We start from the raw sequence: 20,508 nt of genomic DNA on the forward strand, positions 1-20,508 counted from the left end.
TGTCTGTAACAGTGGCATCATCAAAAAATAACTGGGTTCTAAAATGCATCCACTCATCTCCTTCCTCCCCACCTCCCCACAGGCCAGTCTAAATTTGTTCATTTATTTGAATTCCCTATTTCTGTTCATAGGACCAGCAGTCTTTCCCCAGTCCCTTAGGTTTAAAACTTTGACATCACTTTTGAAGTCTCTCTTCTCTCTCCCCTACACCCAAGCTAAACTAATATGGCTCACTTCTGCAACATCTCTTAGCTCTTTCCCTCTTTTCTATTTTCACAGTTCTAGTCAAGGTATGTATGACTCTTAAATGGAGATTTTCAATGCTTCTTAACTAGTATTGCAGCTTCTACCCTTTTTTCTCCTTTCTTCAATCCAACTTTCACATCCCTGCCTAGAATACCTTCTGATAATGTCATTTTCCAACACTCAGTTCATCAGTGTTTTTCTAATACCTGCAGCAGGCTTGCAAACTGGAAGACCGTCAGGTGATTTAAATGTGAGACACGACTGAGCGTAAGACACTAGGGTGCTGCATAGCTCCTCCGGCAGGTGCAGAGTGTGAATCCTGCTGAAGGCATTTCCTGTCTTTATTTTTATAGCTAGTGTTCTGACCAGACAAACCACAAAATTCCACAAAATAAAGGCCAAATTCTTCAGTCTAACATTTAAAGCTTTCCATGATTAGATTCCAACTTACTTTTCCAGACACAGAGCTTTTAATGTCAGTATGTAGCTCAGAGATGGTATGTATAGGGTACATGTGCCACCACACTTCCATCCCTGGTCCATGGAAGATATTCCCACTAATCGTAGGACCACTAATCATGGTCCTCTTTCCTGTTGGGCTCAGATACAGCCTCCAGATCGTCCCCAAGAGAGCATCTATGAGCCAGAGGTGCTTAATGTATCCATTAAAACCTATTTGCCATTGTGTACAAGCTCACATCTGATCACTTTCAGCCCATGCCGAATCCCCTCGGTCCACTGTACTGTGCTTGTCATGCAGACCAGAGGACTTCAGCATTTTGAAATAAACACCTTGGTTAGCTGGTTCTCTCTGACCCACTCTCAGCTACCACACAGGCTGCTCCGCTGTAGGCTCAGTCCCGTTTTAGGTGAGTTGCCCCCTGGTCGCTTCAGGTCATGGCAGGAGACTGATCCTGATCCTGGTAGTTTGCTCCAGAGAGAGAGGCTTGGATGAGGGTCTTATCTTAGCTAAAGCAGATTTCATGACAAGCCTCCCATCCCTGTACCCCTCTTCCAACCCCTGTAGTGGCAAATGCTGAGGGCTGATCTCAGGGAGACCCTACCCCACTGACGCTACTGTTTTAGATGAACCAACTCACAAAACAACTGGTGCACAACATCCAGTCTGTTCATGACCATTGGTGAACGTCATCTGTTTGTGTGTTCAAGCTCCCTAAAAGCCTCATAATCTAGGTTGCTGCTTGGGCTTGGCATGGTAGTGTGTGTGGCTGTGGGAGATGTTCATGCTATACAAAATGCCCAAATGCCCATGCCACACAGAGTGGGTGGCAGGATTTCCCTTTGAGGAGCTCTATGTGCATTCCTTCAATGACTGGGGGTCTACTTCACTTTTTCATATTCCATTGGGGCCTGCACATTCCAGAGAGCCCAGTTTTCCTCTCTGTTTGGCAAGACTTATTCTTTCTCCTAAAGTAACTGACTGTCGTATTTGTTTTAAAAGAGCGAGTAAGACAGATGCTAATAATATCACATAGACTAACTCAAAAACTCAAGGGAGGGGAAGCGGGGGAAAGAACCATTTATTTTATGGTCGATGGAGTCAGTTTGTCTTATGATCTTATCAAGAGTTCTGCAGCCTGGTACCTGCCACGTTGGCTATCACACCTGCTTTGTGTGGATATCATGCCTTAAAGACAGGCTTGAATATGGCAATTTAATATGATGGAGGTCTCCTTTATGTGCCATCCTAAGTGCCACTCTGATTGCCTACATAGGTTAACATGCCTCTTGCAAAGCCTTAGAATGATTGAGTCACTGGAGCAACAATGGCTAGTCATGCAGCAGGTGTGATAGTTAATTTTTGGTGTTATCAAATGCTGCACCACAGCTGGCAGCCCTGATCTCACAGACCTCTATGGTCTTAGCCTACTGAGTATCTTTCATCTTTTCAGAATTTCTGGGGTTGATTTTTTTTTTAACTTAGGAATAAATTCTGCTATGGACTGAATGTTTTCCCCCTCCCCCGCCAAATTCATACATTGAAGCCCTAATCGCCAGTGAGATGGTATCTGGAGGTAGAGCCTTTGGAACATAATTAGATCATGAGCGTGGATCCCTCATGAATGGGATCAGTGCTCAATAAGCAACATGAGAGAAATGACCTCTGTCTCCATCATGTGAGGATACAGCAAGAAGGTGGCCATCTGCAAATCAGGAAGAGAACCCTCATCAGACCCCACATCTGCCAGAACTTTGATCTTGAACTTCCAGCTTCCAAAACTGTGAGAAATAAATTGAGTATAAGCCACCCAGTCCATAGTAATTTGTTATAGCAGGCCAAAACTGACTAGAAGTTTCACACAAGAATTAGTTACATTTGAAGAGAAGGAAAGAGATAAAACCTCTGTTAAGGACTGGTTTTCCAGGAAGAGTGATTATTTCCATCCATACAGAGGTGGAGGGAGGGCATTATATGCATGACAATTCCCCCTCAGAATGAGGTGTTACTGTTGATGTTTATCTTTAACAAAGACAAAGACATTAGTGAGATGGTGTTTACAACTGAGGTGGCTTCATGGAAAAGGCAGAACTTAGTGGGAATGAACCTCTTTTCACTACAAGCTTGTTCGTCATTGAGGATTCACCTCAACTGAAATTGTAGGGTCAATTCCAGCCTCAGGTGGCCAAGGCCTCCCATCTGATTCCTGCCCGGGCTCAGGACACATGCACTTTCCCCTGGGCTAGGGCCAGGTGGAAGGTGCTCATTTGCCTTGATGTCCCTAGAGTGCAGAGGATTGCATTTTATAAAACTAATGAAGGATTTAAACTAATATACTAATAAACTAATGGAGGATATATAACTAATGAAGGATCTGATCCCTGCCCTGGTTCAGGACACATGCACTTTCCCCTGGGCTAGGGCCAGGTGGAAGGTGCTCGTTAGCCTTGATGTCCCCAGAGTGCAAAGGATTGCATTTTATAAAACTAATAAAGGATTTAAAGGTAATTTTTCATTATTTTTCTCTATTTAATTGATATAATCACTTTTTTGTGAGGAAAATACAGTTTAACCAAGGCAGATACTATGTCACCCCTACACCTCTACAACTGTTTGATCACCCATAGGGTAACTCAATTAATGTAACACAGCAGCAGGAAGGAGTCATGCCTGAAACAGCCTCCCAGCCGAGGCTCTGTGGGCTAAAGGAGGGGGACAATGGCTGGTGAGGGGGAGACAGATTTGTGCTATTTAACAAAATGTTTGCAAAACAATGATCTAGTAAATACACTGGAAACTTACAAAATTATGTTCCTCTCCTGATCATTGTAGGGATTTTAGGGGTTTTTTTTAATAGTTAAAATTTTATTAGGAAACAGGAATATTCAGAAAAGACTGAAAAAAATCACAAGATATTATGAAGAATTAATTAGGAAAAAGCCTAGCGAGAAGGCTGTAACATAACAGACATACAGTGGACCCGGGAACAACTTGGGTTTGAATGTGTGGGACCACTTAGACGCAGATTTTCTGCCACCTCTGCCACTCCTGGAACAAGACCAACTCCTTCCTCCTCCTCCTCCTCCTCCTTAGCCTGCTCAACATGAAGACAAGGATGAAGATCTTTCTGATGATTTCTTCCATTTAATAAATAGTAAATATATTCCCTTTTTCTGATTTTTTAAATAATATTTTCTTTCTCTTGCTTATCTTATTGTAAGAATTCAGTATATACTACTTATAGCATACAAAATGTGTGTTGTTTATGTTATCAGTAAGACTTCCCGTCAACAGTAGGCTATTAGTAGTCAAGTTTTGGGGGAGTCAAGTTATCTGTGGATTTTCAAGGGCTCAGGGGGTCAGTGCCCCGAATCCCCATGTTGTTAAAGGCTCAATTATGATTTATTTCATGGCATCAGGAGTCAATCTCTTGATACTTCTAGTTTTCTCAAAGCCACCTTTTATGTTCATCATTGTTCAATTTATTTCCCAGCAAATATGTAAGTTTTTTATTGCCATATATAAAGTTACAGTGCATCTCCTGTGTTCTGTCTTATCCTTCATCCCCCTAAATGCTGCTTTAAATGGCAGGCCAGGGTGTAGGGTGTTTGATGTTCTCTGAGTTAGCATGAGTTCTGAGCTGTAAGTAAATCATACATGTACTACGTAATTCATGAATTATTTATTTTTGCTTGTGCTTTCTATAGAACACTATGTATCAAAATCAAATTCAAAGTACTTTAATCTTAGGTGATTTCAGATCATTAAAATAACTGGCTATCCAGCCTTGCAGGAAAGGTTTTTTTTTTTTTTTTAATCTATGTCTCCATAAAGGTTCTGACCAGCTAGAAGAAGTAGCAGTCTTCCCCACATTTACTTATGCCACAGAGGTGATGGATCAGCCACAGAGAACACAAGGAGCTTAAAGAAATCGAGTCCTGGTCAGGCGTAGTGGCTCACGTCTATAATCCCAGCACTTTGGGAGGCCGAGGCAGGCGGATCACCTGAGGTCAGGAGTTCAAGACCAGCCTGGACATCATGGTGAAACCTCGTCTCTACTAAAAATACAAAAATTAGCTGGGTGTGGTGGCACACACGTGTAATCCCAGCTACTTGGGAGGCTGAGGCAGGAGAATCGCTTGAACCCAGGAGTCAGAGGTTGCAGTGAGCCGAGATCACATCACTGCACTCCAGCCTGTGTGACAGAGCGAGATTCCTTCTAAAAAATAAAAATAAGGGAAAATGTTCTCCTGCTCTCTGGGTTCCATTAACACCTGACTTTTTTAAACTTTAATTTCAAAAAATTGACATAAAATGTTATGTACTTATATACAGCTTTAAATCAGTTTCTCTCTTCTCTGATACCCTAGGAAACAATAACTCCTGCTGTGGTAGCATTTTCTAATAGACCTTGCTGCGTGTCAAGAAGTGAAAGTTGACCCAGAATTAAAGACTCCTGTTTTCTTTACCACCTTCTCTTTCTCTCTTGCTTTCTAAGTTGTTTCTAAAGGTAAAGATCCTAGAGAGGCCTGATAAACAGAGAACTCCAGTAAGACCCACCTATGCTTTATAGGAACAGGTTCTCATATCCTCTCTGATGTTTGTCCCTTGGTGGGTTTGTGTTGCAATGTACCTGCTGTTCTGTAGGTGGGAGTCTGTGGGTAGGGGGTACCCTAAGGTCTGGAGGATCAGGAAAATGTGGAGGTGAGATAGGAGTTACCCCAGGCAGCCTGGATTAACGCTGCAGACACAGAGACCTCAAACTTTTCATTCATTCATTTATTCGTTCTGTTTACTGATGGACCACCTGTTACATGCTGAGAATTGTGCTCAGCTCTGAGGGGTACAAAAAAGAAAGACCTGGTCCTCTGCTTTAAGGACCAATATTGTCGGAAAATGGACATGCAAATGAACAATCACACATTAAATGCATTTTTATAAAGGAAATCTATACATGAAAGCAAGGATCTAGAAATCCTTCATTCTGTTCAGTCATTGTTTTTGTATCATGGGGAAGGGGAGGAATTGGTATGAAATTTTATTTTCAGAGGAGGCAAATTGTAGCCAGAAACACACCAGGATTCTAGTCCCAGGGCAAGATACTCTACTCTTTGCTCTCCAATTTCCTCATCCTAACATGATGGCATTGACCAACACACTTCTGGGGTCATGGTCAGGAAGGAGGGAAGTTAGCCAAACTGACTGAGTCCTTGGCCTGAGTCCTAACCCTGGCCTTTTATTGGGCCTCAGTTTGTCCATCTTTCCTGGACCACCATTCTCTGACTGTTAAATGGGAAGAATATCTACCTCTCAGGATTGATGGGGGATAAAGAAGGAATGTATGTTCTCTTTCCTCCTTCTCCTTTTCATTCTTACCTATGATTCTATGCATATGCTACTCCATCATTACGTTTCATGACTCAGAATTGTATACATTTCAGAACAGTAACGTGGTGCACATACTGCATTTAAAATAGCATACCCAACTGTGTCTACACCCCATAATCAAAACTTTTATATTTTAGTATCAAAGCATATAAATATTCAATTAGATGGGATAAGTAAATGTCTTAGGTAACCTCATATCATTTTAGGTAAGATTTTGCCACCACGTGTTTTTTTGCAAACTCATAAGAAATTTTTTTTTGACAGCTCTTTTGATTTTGATAAAGAATTATGGACTTCTAATAACAATTTGGTTCATAAAATAATTTTGCGGGAGAAATAACTCTTTCATTTATGTTTACTTCCAAATGGATGGCTTCCGGTTAATCACTCTTGGCCCTCCCTTTGTAGCCCTGCACACAGCCTGTGAGAAGGGCATGAGGAGGACGGCGATTACCCAGATTGGCAACCTTGACAAAAAATAAACCAGGCATGTTCCCCTCAGCTTCACCGACTTTACTCTTGGAAGGAAATTGGTCATTGGCTCTGCTGTGACTCTCTGCCTAATTTAGTTACAAATCCCTATTCGTGCCTCAGATTTTATTATTACTGGTAATAACAATCATTATATTTATGTCTCCTTCGGTCACCCTTTGTTTTATTTCTCAGTTAAGAACTCAGATGAGAAGAGGCCTGACTCCTCAGAAAATAATTTGGTCCTTGAGCAATTTCATTGTCCACTCAGCATTTAACTGAGCAAATAAAACAGTGGAATTTTGATTGAAAGAAATATTGTATACCTGTAGAGAGGATTTTGGTGACTTTGGGGCTCGGACTTGGGTGTGTGAGCAGGGCCTTCAATTGTGGCCCTTTGTAATGGTTTGTGTTAGGCCAGGCAAGATAGTACAGCTGTGCATTTCACCATGGCAGGCAGGACAAGGAGGGAAAGAAGGAGGGAAGGAAGGAAAAGAGGAAGGGAGGAAGAAGGGAAGGGAGGGAGGAAGGGAGGGAGAGAAGAAGGGATATAATTCATATAGTACCTAGTATTAGAATAGGAGTTTTCTCATTATCAGAAGTAAAAACTTTCAAAATAATATAAAACAACCACTACCTCATAAAGGGTAAACAAATGAACATCCTCAGCTGTCTTTAGATACAGCCAACTGATCTCAACCTGGAAGTTGTGGTGTTGATATATAGTTGGTCTACTGGCAGTCTCACCCTTAGAGCTGGACCAACAGGGCCTTGACTCAAAGGGTCCTAGAATTTGGAACTTCTTCCTTGAATTTTTAGTTTACCTCTGGTGATTGGGGCCAGCCAGAGCTGGCAGTGACATCTGGACGGGGTACAGCGAACCTGGACTAGACTCATACCTATGGGGGCATGTGGAACGCTCTTGCCTGGCCTGTATGCCAGAAGGGCAGCTTGGCCAGCAGATGTTTCTTTAACAGGATCACATGAGATTGGTCCACCAGAATGATGCTGACATGCTGATTTGGAGTGGCTCCAATTGTTAATATAGACAAGAGCTCTGCAAAAAAAAAAAATATTTCTGTAGTTCCACACACAATTACGGTCACCTGCCTACTGGTTCTGTTCTTCCATGATTCTATTATTCCCAAGAAAGAAGACACAGGAAAGTCTACACATTCAGCCAAGGAAGGAATTATTGAAATAAAGGTACCACATTTCACAGAGGACATTAAAGGACTGAAAGTATATCTCAAATTTGGAGCAAAAAGAATTCTGAAATTTCACAGGGAAAGTATTACTGGAGTTGTAGAGTACATCTGAGATCAATCTTGGCCAGACTGTGACTGATTCGGAGAGCAACTTGAGAGACAAATTGCAAAATTTCCCTAAAAATGGAAACTTAGGACTCTGGTTGACTGAATAAAACCATGGTCTCAATGAGTAGGAAGTGGGAGAAATAGAAGACAGAATAAAGAAAAAAGAGTTTAAAAATCAGTAACTAGTAGGGAACAAAAATATGTCATTGTTCTGGGAAGATGTGCTATCAGGAAGGGTAGGAAGTGGAAACTGGGGGCTTCAGTGGTTTTGTTACAAGTAGACGAACAGCCCTGGACCCAAGACCTCTCCATAGCGTCTCTGCCTGTGAGGAGAGCACAGCCTACAGGAGCTCCCAAGTTTCAGAGGCGGGCGGCTTGTTGGAAACAGAAATGCCAGGGTCCCAGTGCCTCAGTCCTGATTGATAGAATTCTCAGGGGCCCAGTAACCTGCCTTTAAACAAGCTCTCCAGCTGATTCTGATACAGATAGTCTATGGACAGCATGCAGAGAACACAGGCATAAAGTCAGGATTCTTTTGTAATGATTACAATAAACACATGTTGCAAATGCAAACACAAGCACTTTCTCTGGTCACAAGGTTAAATTCCAGGCCCCTGCAGAGTCTGCCTTTGGGCCCCACCCACCACTCTCTGCCCAGGCCTGCCACCTAAAGTCTCAACCCTCCTCTTTGATGGGTCCCCAACACCTCAAGCTGCCTGGTTGGTAACAAAGCCTGTGTTTGGGTGGAAAGGCTATTTTTTCTCATGCTTTTCTAGAACACTATGGTTTGTTTTTTTTTTTCCACCAAGGAAGCGTAGGAAATACATGAAATGTCTTGGTTCACAAAGGCAGAAAATACCAGAAAGTTGACCAGCACTTGAGTATAAGCAGCAGCTTCATTTTTGTACATACACTACAAAAGATGTTTTAAAAATACCTCCCCCAAGCAGTCAAAATGTCATTCCTTATATACCAGTGTTTGCCTATAACAAACTAAAATGATTATGAAAAGTCCTATAATAATTTTCCTATCATCCTTCCTTTCATCCCTTGTCTTGAATGTGGAGGCATCCCAGGAAAAGGGAACGGTAGTATCAACTGCTCCATGGAGATGGAAAAGCTTTGAGATGGAAGAGTCGGGGGAAATAATGGTATAGAAGCAGTTTACTGTTGTCATCCATAGAAGATGCTATAGGGATACTGGAGATGAGAAATGAAATTGGGTGAGGCTTGAACATGAGTCAAGCTTTGTATTTACCTTGGTAGTGACAGGAAAACACTGGCAGTTTTTAAGGAGTCATATGACATGATCAGGGCTGAGCTTTCAAAAAAATTAACCTGGCAAGATATGGAAATGGGATGGATAGAATGAGAGAGTGATTGAGATGGGACAGGAAAGCAAGAGGTCATCGCAGTAATCCAGGTGAGGGGCTATGAAGTCTGTGATGGAGAATTGGTGGTGGCTGTGGATGGTAGGAAAGACTGTGAAGGAAATTAGGGAGTGGCTCCTACAGGGCTTAGACCTGCAACGATGTGAGACAAGAGAGATTTCTGAGGGTCAAGCCTCGCTGACTGGGGAGATCATAATGCCATTGCAGAAATGGGAAATAGTGGAAGAGGAGCTAGTTGAAGATTGACACATTGTAAACTTGAAGTTCAACTTGATATCTGGATTTGCAACTAGATAGCCGTGTCAGGATAGAGGAAGGACCTAGAGATAAAGGGCAAAGTTGCCTATTTCCATTGCTTAGACTGTCCCTTAGTGGAGATCTCAGAAGGTTAGGGGAGGAGAGAGGGGCTGGGCTGTGCCAGTAGAGACAGAGAACTGGAGAGTAGAGGGAGGCAGATAATGTGGTTCAGGCCAGATACAAAATCTGAAAAGAACTGGGTTTGAAGAATTTTCTGGTTTACCTGGGACTTTTACCATTTTCTCTAGTACTCTCTTGAGCACTAGGCCACCATATTTTTCCCAGGACCTTTCAAGGTTCCCATCCCATGAACTTTTCTCAAAAACAGGAAGGTGTGCACCTGAGAGCCATGTAAATATCCTGAAATATTCTAGATTTGGAGAGACACTTTAGACTTGGCTGACTTGGGCAGCATTTCTTAATCCTTGATGGTCTCAGTTTTGTAGAAAGAAAGAAAGGGAAGGAAGGGAGGGAGGGAGGGATGGAGGAGGAAAGAAGAAAAAGAGGAAGAAGGAGAGAGAAAGAAAGGAAATTAAGAGCCACTTCATAGGGTTTTGTGTGGGTGTGTGTGCACACATGTGTGTGCGTGTGTGTGCAGAGGAGAAAGGAGATAATACATAATAAAGCATCCATACAGTGACTTGTAAATATTAAGCCTTCAACAATTATTAGTTTCCTTTTCCTCTGCCCTGCATGTGTCAATAGCAATTCCCAGTAGAAATGGGAAACTCTCGGTAGACCAGCACCGAGCTAGAGTGTGAGGGTCTGCTTTCCAGCCCTGTGCCAGCTATTGAGTAGGTTATGACCTTGGGCTAGTTCCTCAGCTAGGGCCTTCTGTCTCAGTTTGCACACCACTAAAATAAGAGAGCTGGCCTAGATTAGTGTTTGCTAATTTCTACCACCAAGTAATTTAAAAAAAAAAATAGTATATATTTAAGGTGTACAACATGATGTCTTGACAAACATACATAATGAAATGGTCACTACAGTCAAGAAGCAAATTAGCATATTCATCATCTCACATAGTTACTTTTTTAGTGTGGGTGGCAAAAGTACATAAGGTCTACTTTCAGTGAATTTTCAGTATAAAATACAATTCTATTAACTATAGGATAGTTATGTTATACACTAGATCTCCAGATTTCTTCATCCTACATAACTAACTTTTTACCCTTTGACTTCTGTCTCTTCATCTCCCCACCCCTGTTCTATTCTGTTTCTATGCATTTGAGCTTTGTTTTTCTTTTTAGATTGCACATAAATGAGATCATATAGTACTCTTCTTTCCATGTCTGGCTTATTTCACTTAGCATAACGTCCTCTAGGTTCAACCATGTCACAAATGGCAAGATCTCTCTTTTTTAAGGCTGAATCATATTCCATTGTAGACATGTACCATAAATTCTTTATCTATTCATTCATCAATGGACACTTAGGTTGTTTCCATATCTTGGTTATTGTTTCTAGATCTTGGATATTGTGAATTATGCTGCAATAAATTATGCTGCATAATTATAATGCATAAACATGGGGGTGGTAATTTCATTTCCTTTGGTTATGCACCCATAGATAGATTGCTGGATATATGGTATTTCTATTTTTAGCTTTGAGGAGCCTCTGTTCTGTTTTCCATATTGATTATACTAATTTACATTCCCACCAACCATGTACAAAGGTCTCCTTTTCTCCACACTCTTGCCAAAAATTGCCTCATCTTTTTGATAATAGCCATTTTAAACAGGTGTGAAATGATATTGCACTGTGGTTTTGATTTGTATATCCTTGATGATTAGTGATGTTACCACCAAGGAATGCTTTTATCCTTTCTCATACTTGCTATCTTTTGAAAGAATTTTTTTTAATCAACCAGAAGTTGTTAAGTAACTGATTCATTTCTTATGTGATCCCCAGTGTTACTAAACTGGATTAATATAACTATTGCCCAAAGAAGCTTGCACAGACTTTATATAAGAAAATATGCAACAGCTATTAGAGGCTTAAACTAAGAAAAACAGCATGCGGACACTATTATAACCATATTGGAATGTGAAATTCTAGGTTGAACACCACTAGACAAGTTAGTCTTAAGGTTCCGTCTAACCCTCTCTGAACCCATAAGGTAGTATAGAGTTTCTACTGTATACCTTTTGGAGGATTCAGTAATTTATTTTGCCTTTAAAGGTAGCAATTCAATGTAGTTAGGAAGATAAAGCTATGACAGGAAGTAATTAGAGACCTATTAAGCACTAAACTGAGCATCAGAATATTTAATACAATAAGCAATCAGAAAAGAGATTTAGTGTGGGCTGGGGTAGTCAGACTCCATCAATGTTGAGAAGAGATAGACTTTCTCTGGTTCTTTAATGATAATTACATTTTAAATAACCTGAAAGGGCAAATGAGGGCATTTAAGGATTGGCTAAGAGAAGGACTTTATCATAGGATGCAAAGAAGAGAAGCCAACAGAAGAGAATGAATGCTCTACTTTTTCCTATCTTTTTTTCCCGAGAAAAAAAAGTGTCCATTTCTTCGCCCTTACTTCTGGACTCAGGGGATAAAGCCCAAAGTGTTTTGTGATTTAAGTCATTCTTTCCTCTCTAGTTTCATTTCCAGCCACACCCTCTCCCAAACTCCATACTCCAGTCATCTCAGAAGATGGTACCTGATCCACCAAGTTTCTCAAGCCCCAAACCCTAAGCGTCTTCTTGATTCCTTCCTTCCCCTCCCTCTCCTCTCCTCACCAGCCAATCTTCCAAAGACACCTGTAGAGTACATCTCTAAATTTCCACATTGTCTTTATACAGTGCAAATCCTATTGCCACTTCTCTGCTTAAAATATTTAATGGCTCTTCATAAGCTACAGAATAAAGTCAAAACCTCTTATGGTGCCATAGCAGACTCTTGATTATCTAGTCCCTGATTACTTTTCTAATCTCATCTCCATTGGTTTCCTTCCTCCAAGGCTTGATGGAATGTGTACGAATTCAACTGCTAGAGAAATCATCGGAGGCAGCAAGACTAAGTATTAGAGGATAAGAGCTTAAATTAAGGCAATAGGAATGGGGATAGTAATAAGGATATGGATTTGAGAAATATTGAGTAGAACAGAGACAACTTAGTGACTAGTTAAATGTAAGGATAAAAAGAGGCAAAGCAGGGATGATGATGATGACAACGATGATGGCAATAAGTAAATGACACCAAACATTTTTCTGTGCAGTTACAACATATAAAGCTTTGTTTTTGAGTGTTTAGGTGTGTTAACACGTTAAAATTTCAAAACGATCCTATGGGATAGAAGCTGTATTTATCCACATTTTACATATAGGAAAACTGAGGCACATAAGTTTAATAGCTCGTCGAAATGCACACTGGGTACTTTCATACAGTCTAGCTTTAAAACCATGCATGATTAAGCACAAAACAGCCTCCTTTGCCTTGTCAAACTGATTGCCATCTCCTGAACATGCCATACTCCTTTGAAACCGTTGTCTTCCCATTCCTTCTGTGTGAAATGCCCTTATCCCTTCCTTTGAATGGAAACCTTCTTTACGACACATCAAATGTTACCTCCTCTGGGAAGTCCTCTCTGTGCCTTCCTCCAGCAGAGTTCTTTACCCCCTATTCTGTTTATATTATGCCATTTGCATGGCTCTATTGGGGAATATATTATACTATGTGCAGATTGGGGACATATAATACACTATGTGCCCATTACTTCTTAGCACATCTATTCCCACCCATGAACTAGACTATGAGCTCTAAAAAGGACAGAATCTGTGTCTCATTTATCTCTCAAGCCCCAGGATCTAGCATATTTCCTGAGCTATAGGAGGTACTCAATGCTTATTGAATGAATGAATGAGTGAATAAATGAATAAAAATATGGCCGGGCACAGTGGTTTAGACTTGTAATCCCAGCACTTTGGGAGGCCAAAGAGGGTGGATCACTTGTGGACAGGAGTTCAAGACCAGCCTGACCAACATAGTGAAACTCCATCTCTACTAAAAATACAAAAAAATTAGCCAGGCGTGGTGGTGCACACCTGTAGTCCCAGCTACTCAGGAGGCTGAGGCATGAGAATTGCTTGAACCCAGGAAGTGGAGGTTGCAGTGAGCCAAGATCGCACCACTGCACTCCAGCCTGTAGAGCAACAGAGCAAGACTGTCTCAAAAAAATGAATAAAAATATGGAGGTGGGAATTATCCACTCTGCTGTGTTACTAATGGTGATGATGTGAGCTCTTAATGCAGGATTGAGACAGATGAACATCAGTGGAGGGACCAGAAGAATCAAGTGGACAGGTTAGAGATAAACTTGAGACTGGCATGACTGAAGAGGTTAGCAAAATGACACCCAGAATAGCCAAGTAGGGGATGTCAAAAGTCTGAGGATGTAACTGTGGAAGATAGATGCAACAGGAACGTCTTAAGATCAGACCTGAAAGGAGTAACAAACAGATGTTACTCTTATTTCTGGGCACTGGTTTCAACAATTCCCCTGCCATTAAATTCCTGGAATATGGCTGCTGTTGACTTATTCCCCTTTTCCTAGAATTTCAGAAAGTATGTGAATTGCAGAATAGACACCATTACCAAAGAGTTTTCTGGAAAAGAAAACAACATTTGCAAGTAGCATGCAACAAAGATCAAGTCAATGTTTTTGTAGAAGCCAAAATTGCTTGAACCCCAAAATGTTATCTGAATACTTATCCCATTCACATGGCTGATCTTTACCCTCCATGTCTCCTCACCCACCATTTATGGAGGGACCTCCCCTGTGTGCTTGGTTGCTGGACTTATTTTGTAATCTGCTTCTTAGAGATCCCAGCCTTCTAATAAAGGGAATGGGTTGGTTTCTTTTCTCTCCATGTGTCAATATAATCTTCCTTTGTCTTTACACATTTTTACGTGCTGGCTGGAGAGCCACTTTGGTTTTTTGTTTTTTCTTTTGGTTTGTTTTTTGTTTGTTTTCTGAGACAGGGTCTAGCTCTGTCACCCAAGCTGGAATGCAGTGGTGCAATCATGGCTTACTGCGGCCTCAACCTCATGGGTGTCAGGCCTCTGAGCCCAAGCCTGCACATATACATCCAGAGGGCCTGAAGCAAGTGAAGAATCACAAAAGAAGTGAAAATGGCTGGTTCCTGCCTTAACTGATGACATTCCACCATTGTGATTTGTTCCTGCCCCACCTTAACTGAGTGATTAACCTTGTGAAATTCCTTCTCCTGGCTCAGAAGCTCCCCCACTGAGCACCTTGTGACCCCCGCCCCTGCCAATAAGAGAACAACCCCCTTTGACTGTAATTTTCCACTACCCACCCAAATCCTGTAAAACAGCCCCACCCCTATCTCCCCTCACTCTCTTTTTGGACTCAGCCCACCTGCACCCAGGTGAAATAAACAGCCTTGTTGCTCACACAAAGCCTGTTTGGTGGTCTTTTCACACAGACATGCGTGACATTTGGTGCTGAAGACCCAGGTCAGAGAGACTCCTTTGGGGGACCAGTCCGCTGTCCTTGCCCTCACTCTGTGAGGAGACCCACCTACGACCTCGGGTCCTCAGACCAACCAGCTCAAGGAACATCTCACCAATTTCAAATCGGGTAAGCGGTCTTTTCACTTTTCTCCAGCCTCTCTCACTACCCTTCAATCTTCCTCTCTTGCTACCCTTCAATCTCCCTGTCCTTCCAATTCCAGTTCTTTTTCTTCTCTAGTAGAGAAAAGGAGACACATTTTATCCGTGGACCCAAAACTCTGGCGCCAGTCATGGACTTGGGAAGACAGTCTTCCCTTGGTGTTTAATCACTGTGGGGACGCCTGCCTGATTATTCACCCACATTCCATTGGTGTCTGATCACCACAGGGACGCCTGCCTTGGTCATTCACCCACATTCCCTTGGTGGCAAGTCAATCGCGGGGACGCCTGCTTTGGCTGCTCACCCACATTGCAGCCCAGGGCTGCTCCCCACCCCCCTTCTCTGTGTCTCTACCCTTCTTTTTAAACTTGCCTTCTTCACTGTGGGCACGCTTCCACCCTCCATTCCTCTTTCTTCTCCCTTATCCTGTGTTCTCAAGAACTTAAAACCTCTTCAACTCTTGCCTGACCTAAAATCTAAGTGTCTTATTTTCTTCTGCAACACCGCTTGGCCCCAATACAAACTTGACAATGGTTCTAAATGGCCAGAAAATGACCCTTTTGATTTCTCCATCCTACGAGACCTAGATAATTTTTGCCAAAAAATGGGCAAATGGTCTGAGGTGCCTGACATCCAGGCATTCTTTTACACATTGGTCCCTCCCTAGTCTCTGCTCCCAATGCAACTCGTCCCAAATCTTTCTTCTTTCTCTCCTGTCAGTTCCTTCAGTCTCCACCCCAAGCTCTGAGTCATGTGAATCCTCGTTTTCTACAGACCCATCTGACCTTTCCCCTCCTCCCCAGGCTGCTCCTTGCCAGGCCAATCCAGGTCCCAACTCTTCTTCAGCCTCCACTCCCCCACCCTATAACCCTTCTATTACCTTCCTTCATCACGCCTGGTCTGGCTTACAGCTTCATTCGGCGACTAGCCCTCCCCCCCTGCCCAACAATTTCCTCTTAGAGAGGTGGCTGGAGCTGAAGGCATAGCCAAAGTTAATGCTCCTTTTTCTTTATCCAACCTCTCCCAAATCAGTTAGCGTTTAGGCTCTTTTTCACCAAGTATGAAAACCCAGTGCATGGCCCGTTTGGCAAGAACCCTTAGACACTTTACTGCCCTAGACCCAGAGGGGCCAGAAGGCTGTCTTATTCTCAATATGCATTTTATTACCCAATCCCCTCCTGACAGTAGAAAAAGCTCCAAAAATTAGATTCTAGCCCTCAAAACCCACAACAGGACCTAATTAACCTCGCCTTCAAGGTGTACAATAATAGAGTAGAGGCAGCCAAGTAGCAACTATTTCTGAGTTGCAATTACTTGCCTCTACTGTGAGAGAAACTCTAGCCACATCTCCATCACACAAGAACTTCAAAACGTCTGAACTGCAGTGGCCAGGTGTTCCTCCAGGACCTCCTCCCCAAGGAGCTTGCTTCAAGTGCCAGAAATCTGGCCACTGGGCCAAGGAATGCCCGCAGCCTCGGATTCCTCCTAAGCCATGTCCCATCTGTGCAGGACCCCACTGGAAAATGGACTGTCCAACTCACCCGGCAGCCACTCCCAGAGCCCCTGGAACTCTGGCCCAAGGCTCTCTGACTGACTCCTTCCCAGATCTTCTCGGCTCAGCAGCTGAAGACTGACACTGCTTGATTGCCTGGGAAGCCTATAGGACCATCACAGACACTTTGGATAACTCTTACAGTGAAGGGTAAGTCCGTCCCCTTCATAATCAATACAGAGGCTACCAACTCCACATTACCCTCTTTTCAAGGGCGTGTTTCCCCTGCCTCCATAACTGTTGTGGGTATTGATGGCCAGGCTTCTAAGTTCTCTTAAAACTCCCCAACTCTGGTGCCAACTTGGACAACATTCTTTTATGCTCTCCTTTTTAGTTATCCCCACCTGCCCAGCTCCCTTATTAGGTTGAGACATTTTAACTAAATTGTCTGCTTTCCTGACTATTCCTGGGCTACAGCCACACCTCATTGCCGCCTTTCCCCCCAATTCAAAGCCTCCTTCACATCCTGTCCTTGCATCTCCCCACCTTAATCCACAAGTATAGGACACCTCTACTCCCTCCTTGGCGATGGATGATGCACCCCTTACCATCACATTAAAACCTTATCACCCTTACCCCGCTCAACGCCAATATCCCATCCCACAGCACGCTTTAAAAGGATTAAAGCCTGTTATCACTCGCCTGTTACCACATGGACTTTTAAAGCCTATAAACTCTCCTTACAATTCTCCCATTTTACCTGTTCAAAAACCAGACAAGTCTTACAGGTTAGTTCAGGATCTGTGCCTTATCAACCAAATTGTTTTGCCTATCCACCCTGTGGTGCCCAACCTGTACACTCTTTTGTCTTCAATACCTTCCTCCACAACTCGCTATTCCATTCTTGATGTTAAAGATGCTTTTTTTCACTATTCCCCTACACCCCTTGTCCTAGCCTCTCTTTGCTTTTACCTGGACTGACTCTGACATCCATCAGTCCCAGCAGCTTACCTGGGCTATGCTGCTGCAAGCCTTCAGGGACAGCCCTCGTTACTTCAGCCAAGCTCTTTCTCATGATTTACTTTCTTTCCACCCCTCCACTTCTCACCTTATTCAATATATTGATGACCTTCTACTTTGTAGCGCCTCCTTTGAATCTTCTCAACAAGACACCCTCCTGCTCCTTCAACATTTATTCTCCAAAGGATATCAGGTATCCTCCAAAGCTCAAATCACTTCTCCATCTGTTACCTACCTCAGCATAATTCTTCATAAAAACACACGTGCTCTCCCTGCCAATCATGTCTGACTGATCTCTCAAACCCCAATCCCTTCTACAAAATAACAACTCCTTTCCTTCCTAAGCATGGTTGGATACTTTCGCCTTTGGATACCTGGTTTTGCCTCCTAATGAAACCATTATATAAACTCACAAAAGGAAACCTAGTTGACCCCATAGATCCTAAATCCTTTCCCCACTCCTCTTTCCATTCCTTGAAGACAGCTTTAGAGACTGCTCCCACACTAGCTCTCCCTGCATCCCAAACCTTTTCATTACACACAGCCAAAGTGCAGGGCTGTGCAGTCGGAATTGTTACACAAGGACCAGGACCGTGCCCTGTAGCCTTTTTGTCCAAACAACTTGACTTTACCGTTTAGGCTGGCCATCATGTCTCTGTGCAGTGGCTGCCACCACCCTAATACTTTTAGAGGCCCTAAAAATCACAAACTATGCTCAACTCACTCTCTACAGTTCTCACAACTTCCAAAATCTATTTTCTTCCTCCCACCTGATGCATATACTTTCTGCTCCCCAGCTCCTTCAGCTGTACTCACTCTTTGTTGAGTCTCCCACAATTACCATTGTTCCTGGCCGGACTTCAATCCAGCCTCCCACATTATTCCTGATACCACACCTGACCCCCATGACTGTATCTCTGATCCACCTGACATTCACTCCATTTCCCATATTTCCTCCTTTTCTGTTCCTCATCCTGATCACACTTGGTTTATTGATGGCAGTTCCAGCAGGCCTAATAGCCACTCACCAACAAACGCAGGCTATGCTATAGTGTCTTCCACATCTATCATTGAGGCTACTGCTCTGCTCCCTCCACTACTTCTCAGTAAGCTGAACTCATTGCCTTAACTCAGGCCCTCACTCTTGCAAAGGGACTACACGTCAATATTTATACTTACTCTAAATATGTCTTCCATATCCTACACCACCATGCTGTTATATGGGCTGAAAGAGGTTTCCTCACTACTCAAGGGTCCTCCATCATTAATGCCTCCTTAATAAAAACTCTTCTCAAGGCTGCTTTACTTCCAAAGGAAGCTGGATTCATTCACTGCAAAGGCCATCAAAAGGCATCAGATCCCATTGCTCAAGGTAACACTTATGCTGATAAGGTAGCTAAAGAAGCAGCTAGCATTCCAACTTCTGTCCCTCACGGCCAGTTTTTCTCCCTCTCATCAGTCACTCCCACCTACTCCCCCACTGAAACTTCCACCTATCAATCTCTTCCCACACAAGGCAAATGGTTCTTGGACTAAGAAAAATATCTCCTTCCAGCCTCACAGGCCCATTCTATTCTATCATCATTTCATAATCTCTTCCATGTAGGTTACAAGTTGCTAGCCCGCCTCTTAGAACCTCTCATTTCCTTTCCATCTTGGAAATCTGTCCTTAAGGAAATCACTTCTCAGTGTTCCATCTGCTATTCTACTACTCCTCAGGGATTGTTCAGGCCCCCTCCCTTCCCTACACATCAAGCTCAGGGATTTGCCCCGGCCCAGGACTGGCAAATTGAATTTTCTCACATGCCTCAAGTCAGGAAACTAAAATAACCTCTTGGTCTGGGTAGACACTTTCACTGGATGGGTAGAGGCCTTTCCTACAGGGTCTGAAAAGGCCACCGCGGTCATAATTTCTTGGTTTGGCCTTCCCACCTCAATACAGTCCGATAACGGACCGGCCTTTACTAGTCATATCACCCAAGCAGTTTCTCAGGCTCTTGGTATTCAGTGAAACCTTCATACCACTTACCGTCCTCAATCTTCACGAAAGGTAGAACAGGCTAATGGTCTTTTAAAAACACACCTCACCAAGCTCAGCCTCCAACTTAACAAAAAGGACTCTGTCAAGAATAGAGCCCAAAAACTCACCAACCAAACAAGTAATTACGCTGAACCCCCTTGGACACTCTCTAATTGGATGTCCTGGGTCCTCCCAATTCTTAGTCCTTTAATACCTGTTTTTCCCCTTCTCTTATTCAGACCTTGCGTCTTCTGTTCAGTTTCTCAATTCATACAAAACTGCATCCAGGCCATCACGAATCTTTGTATATGACAAATGCTCTTTTTAACAACCCCACAATATCGCCCCTTACCACAAAATCTTCCTTCAGCTTAATCTCTCCTACTGTAGGTTCCCACGCCGCACCTAATCCCACTCGAAGCAGCCCTAAGAAACATCACCCATTATCTCTCCATACCACCCCCAAAAAATTTTCACCGCCCCAACATTTCAACACTATTTTGTTTTATTTTTCTTATTAATATAAGAAGACGGGAATGTCAGGCCTCTGAGCCCAAGCCTGCACATATACATCCAGATGGCCTGAAGCAAGTGAAGAATCACAAAAGAAGTGAAAATGGCTGGTTCCTGCCTTAACTGATGACATTCCACCATTGTGATTTGTTCCTGCCCCACCTTAACTGAGTGATTAACCTTGTGAAATTCCTTTCCTGGCTCAGAAGCTCCCCCACTGAGCACCTTGTGACCCCCGCCCCTGCCCATAAGAGAG

The 20,508-nt window shown here is 42.9% G+C and overlaps 1 long non-coding RNA gene across 1 annotated transcript in view; it reads left to right on the forward strand.

Moving 5' to 3' along the window:
* Nucleotides 1-20,508, forward strand: part of LNCOG (lncRNA osteogenesis associated) — a 46,087-nt gene that overhangs the window by 17,214 nt on the left and 8,365 nt on the right. The window contains exons 2-3 of the long non-coding RNA NR_146531.1: nt 15,020-15,174; nt 16,717-16,909. This is a non-coding gene — a long non-coding RNA (lncRNA osteogenesis associated). The remainder of the gene's footprint in view (nt 1-15,019; nt 15,175-16,716; nt 16,910-20,508) is intronic.

This window comes from Homo sapiens, chromosome 12 (genome assembly GCF_000001405.40).
Source record: "Homo sapiens chromosome 12, GRCh38.p14 Primary Assembly".
NCBI lineage: Eukaryota > Metazoa > Chordata > Mammalia > Primates > Hominidae > Homo > Homo sapiens.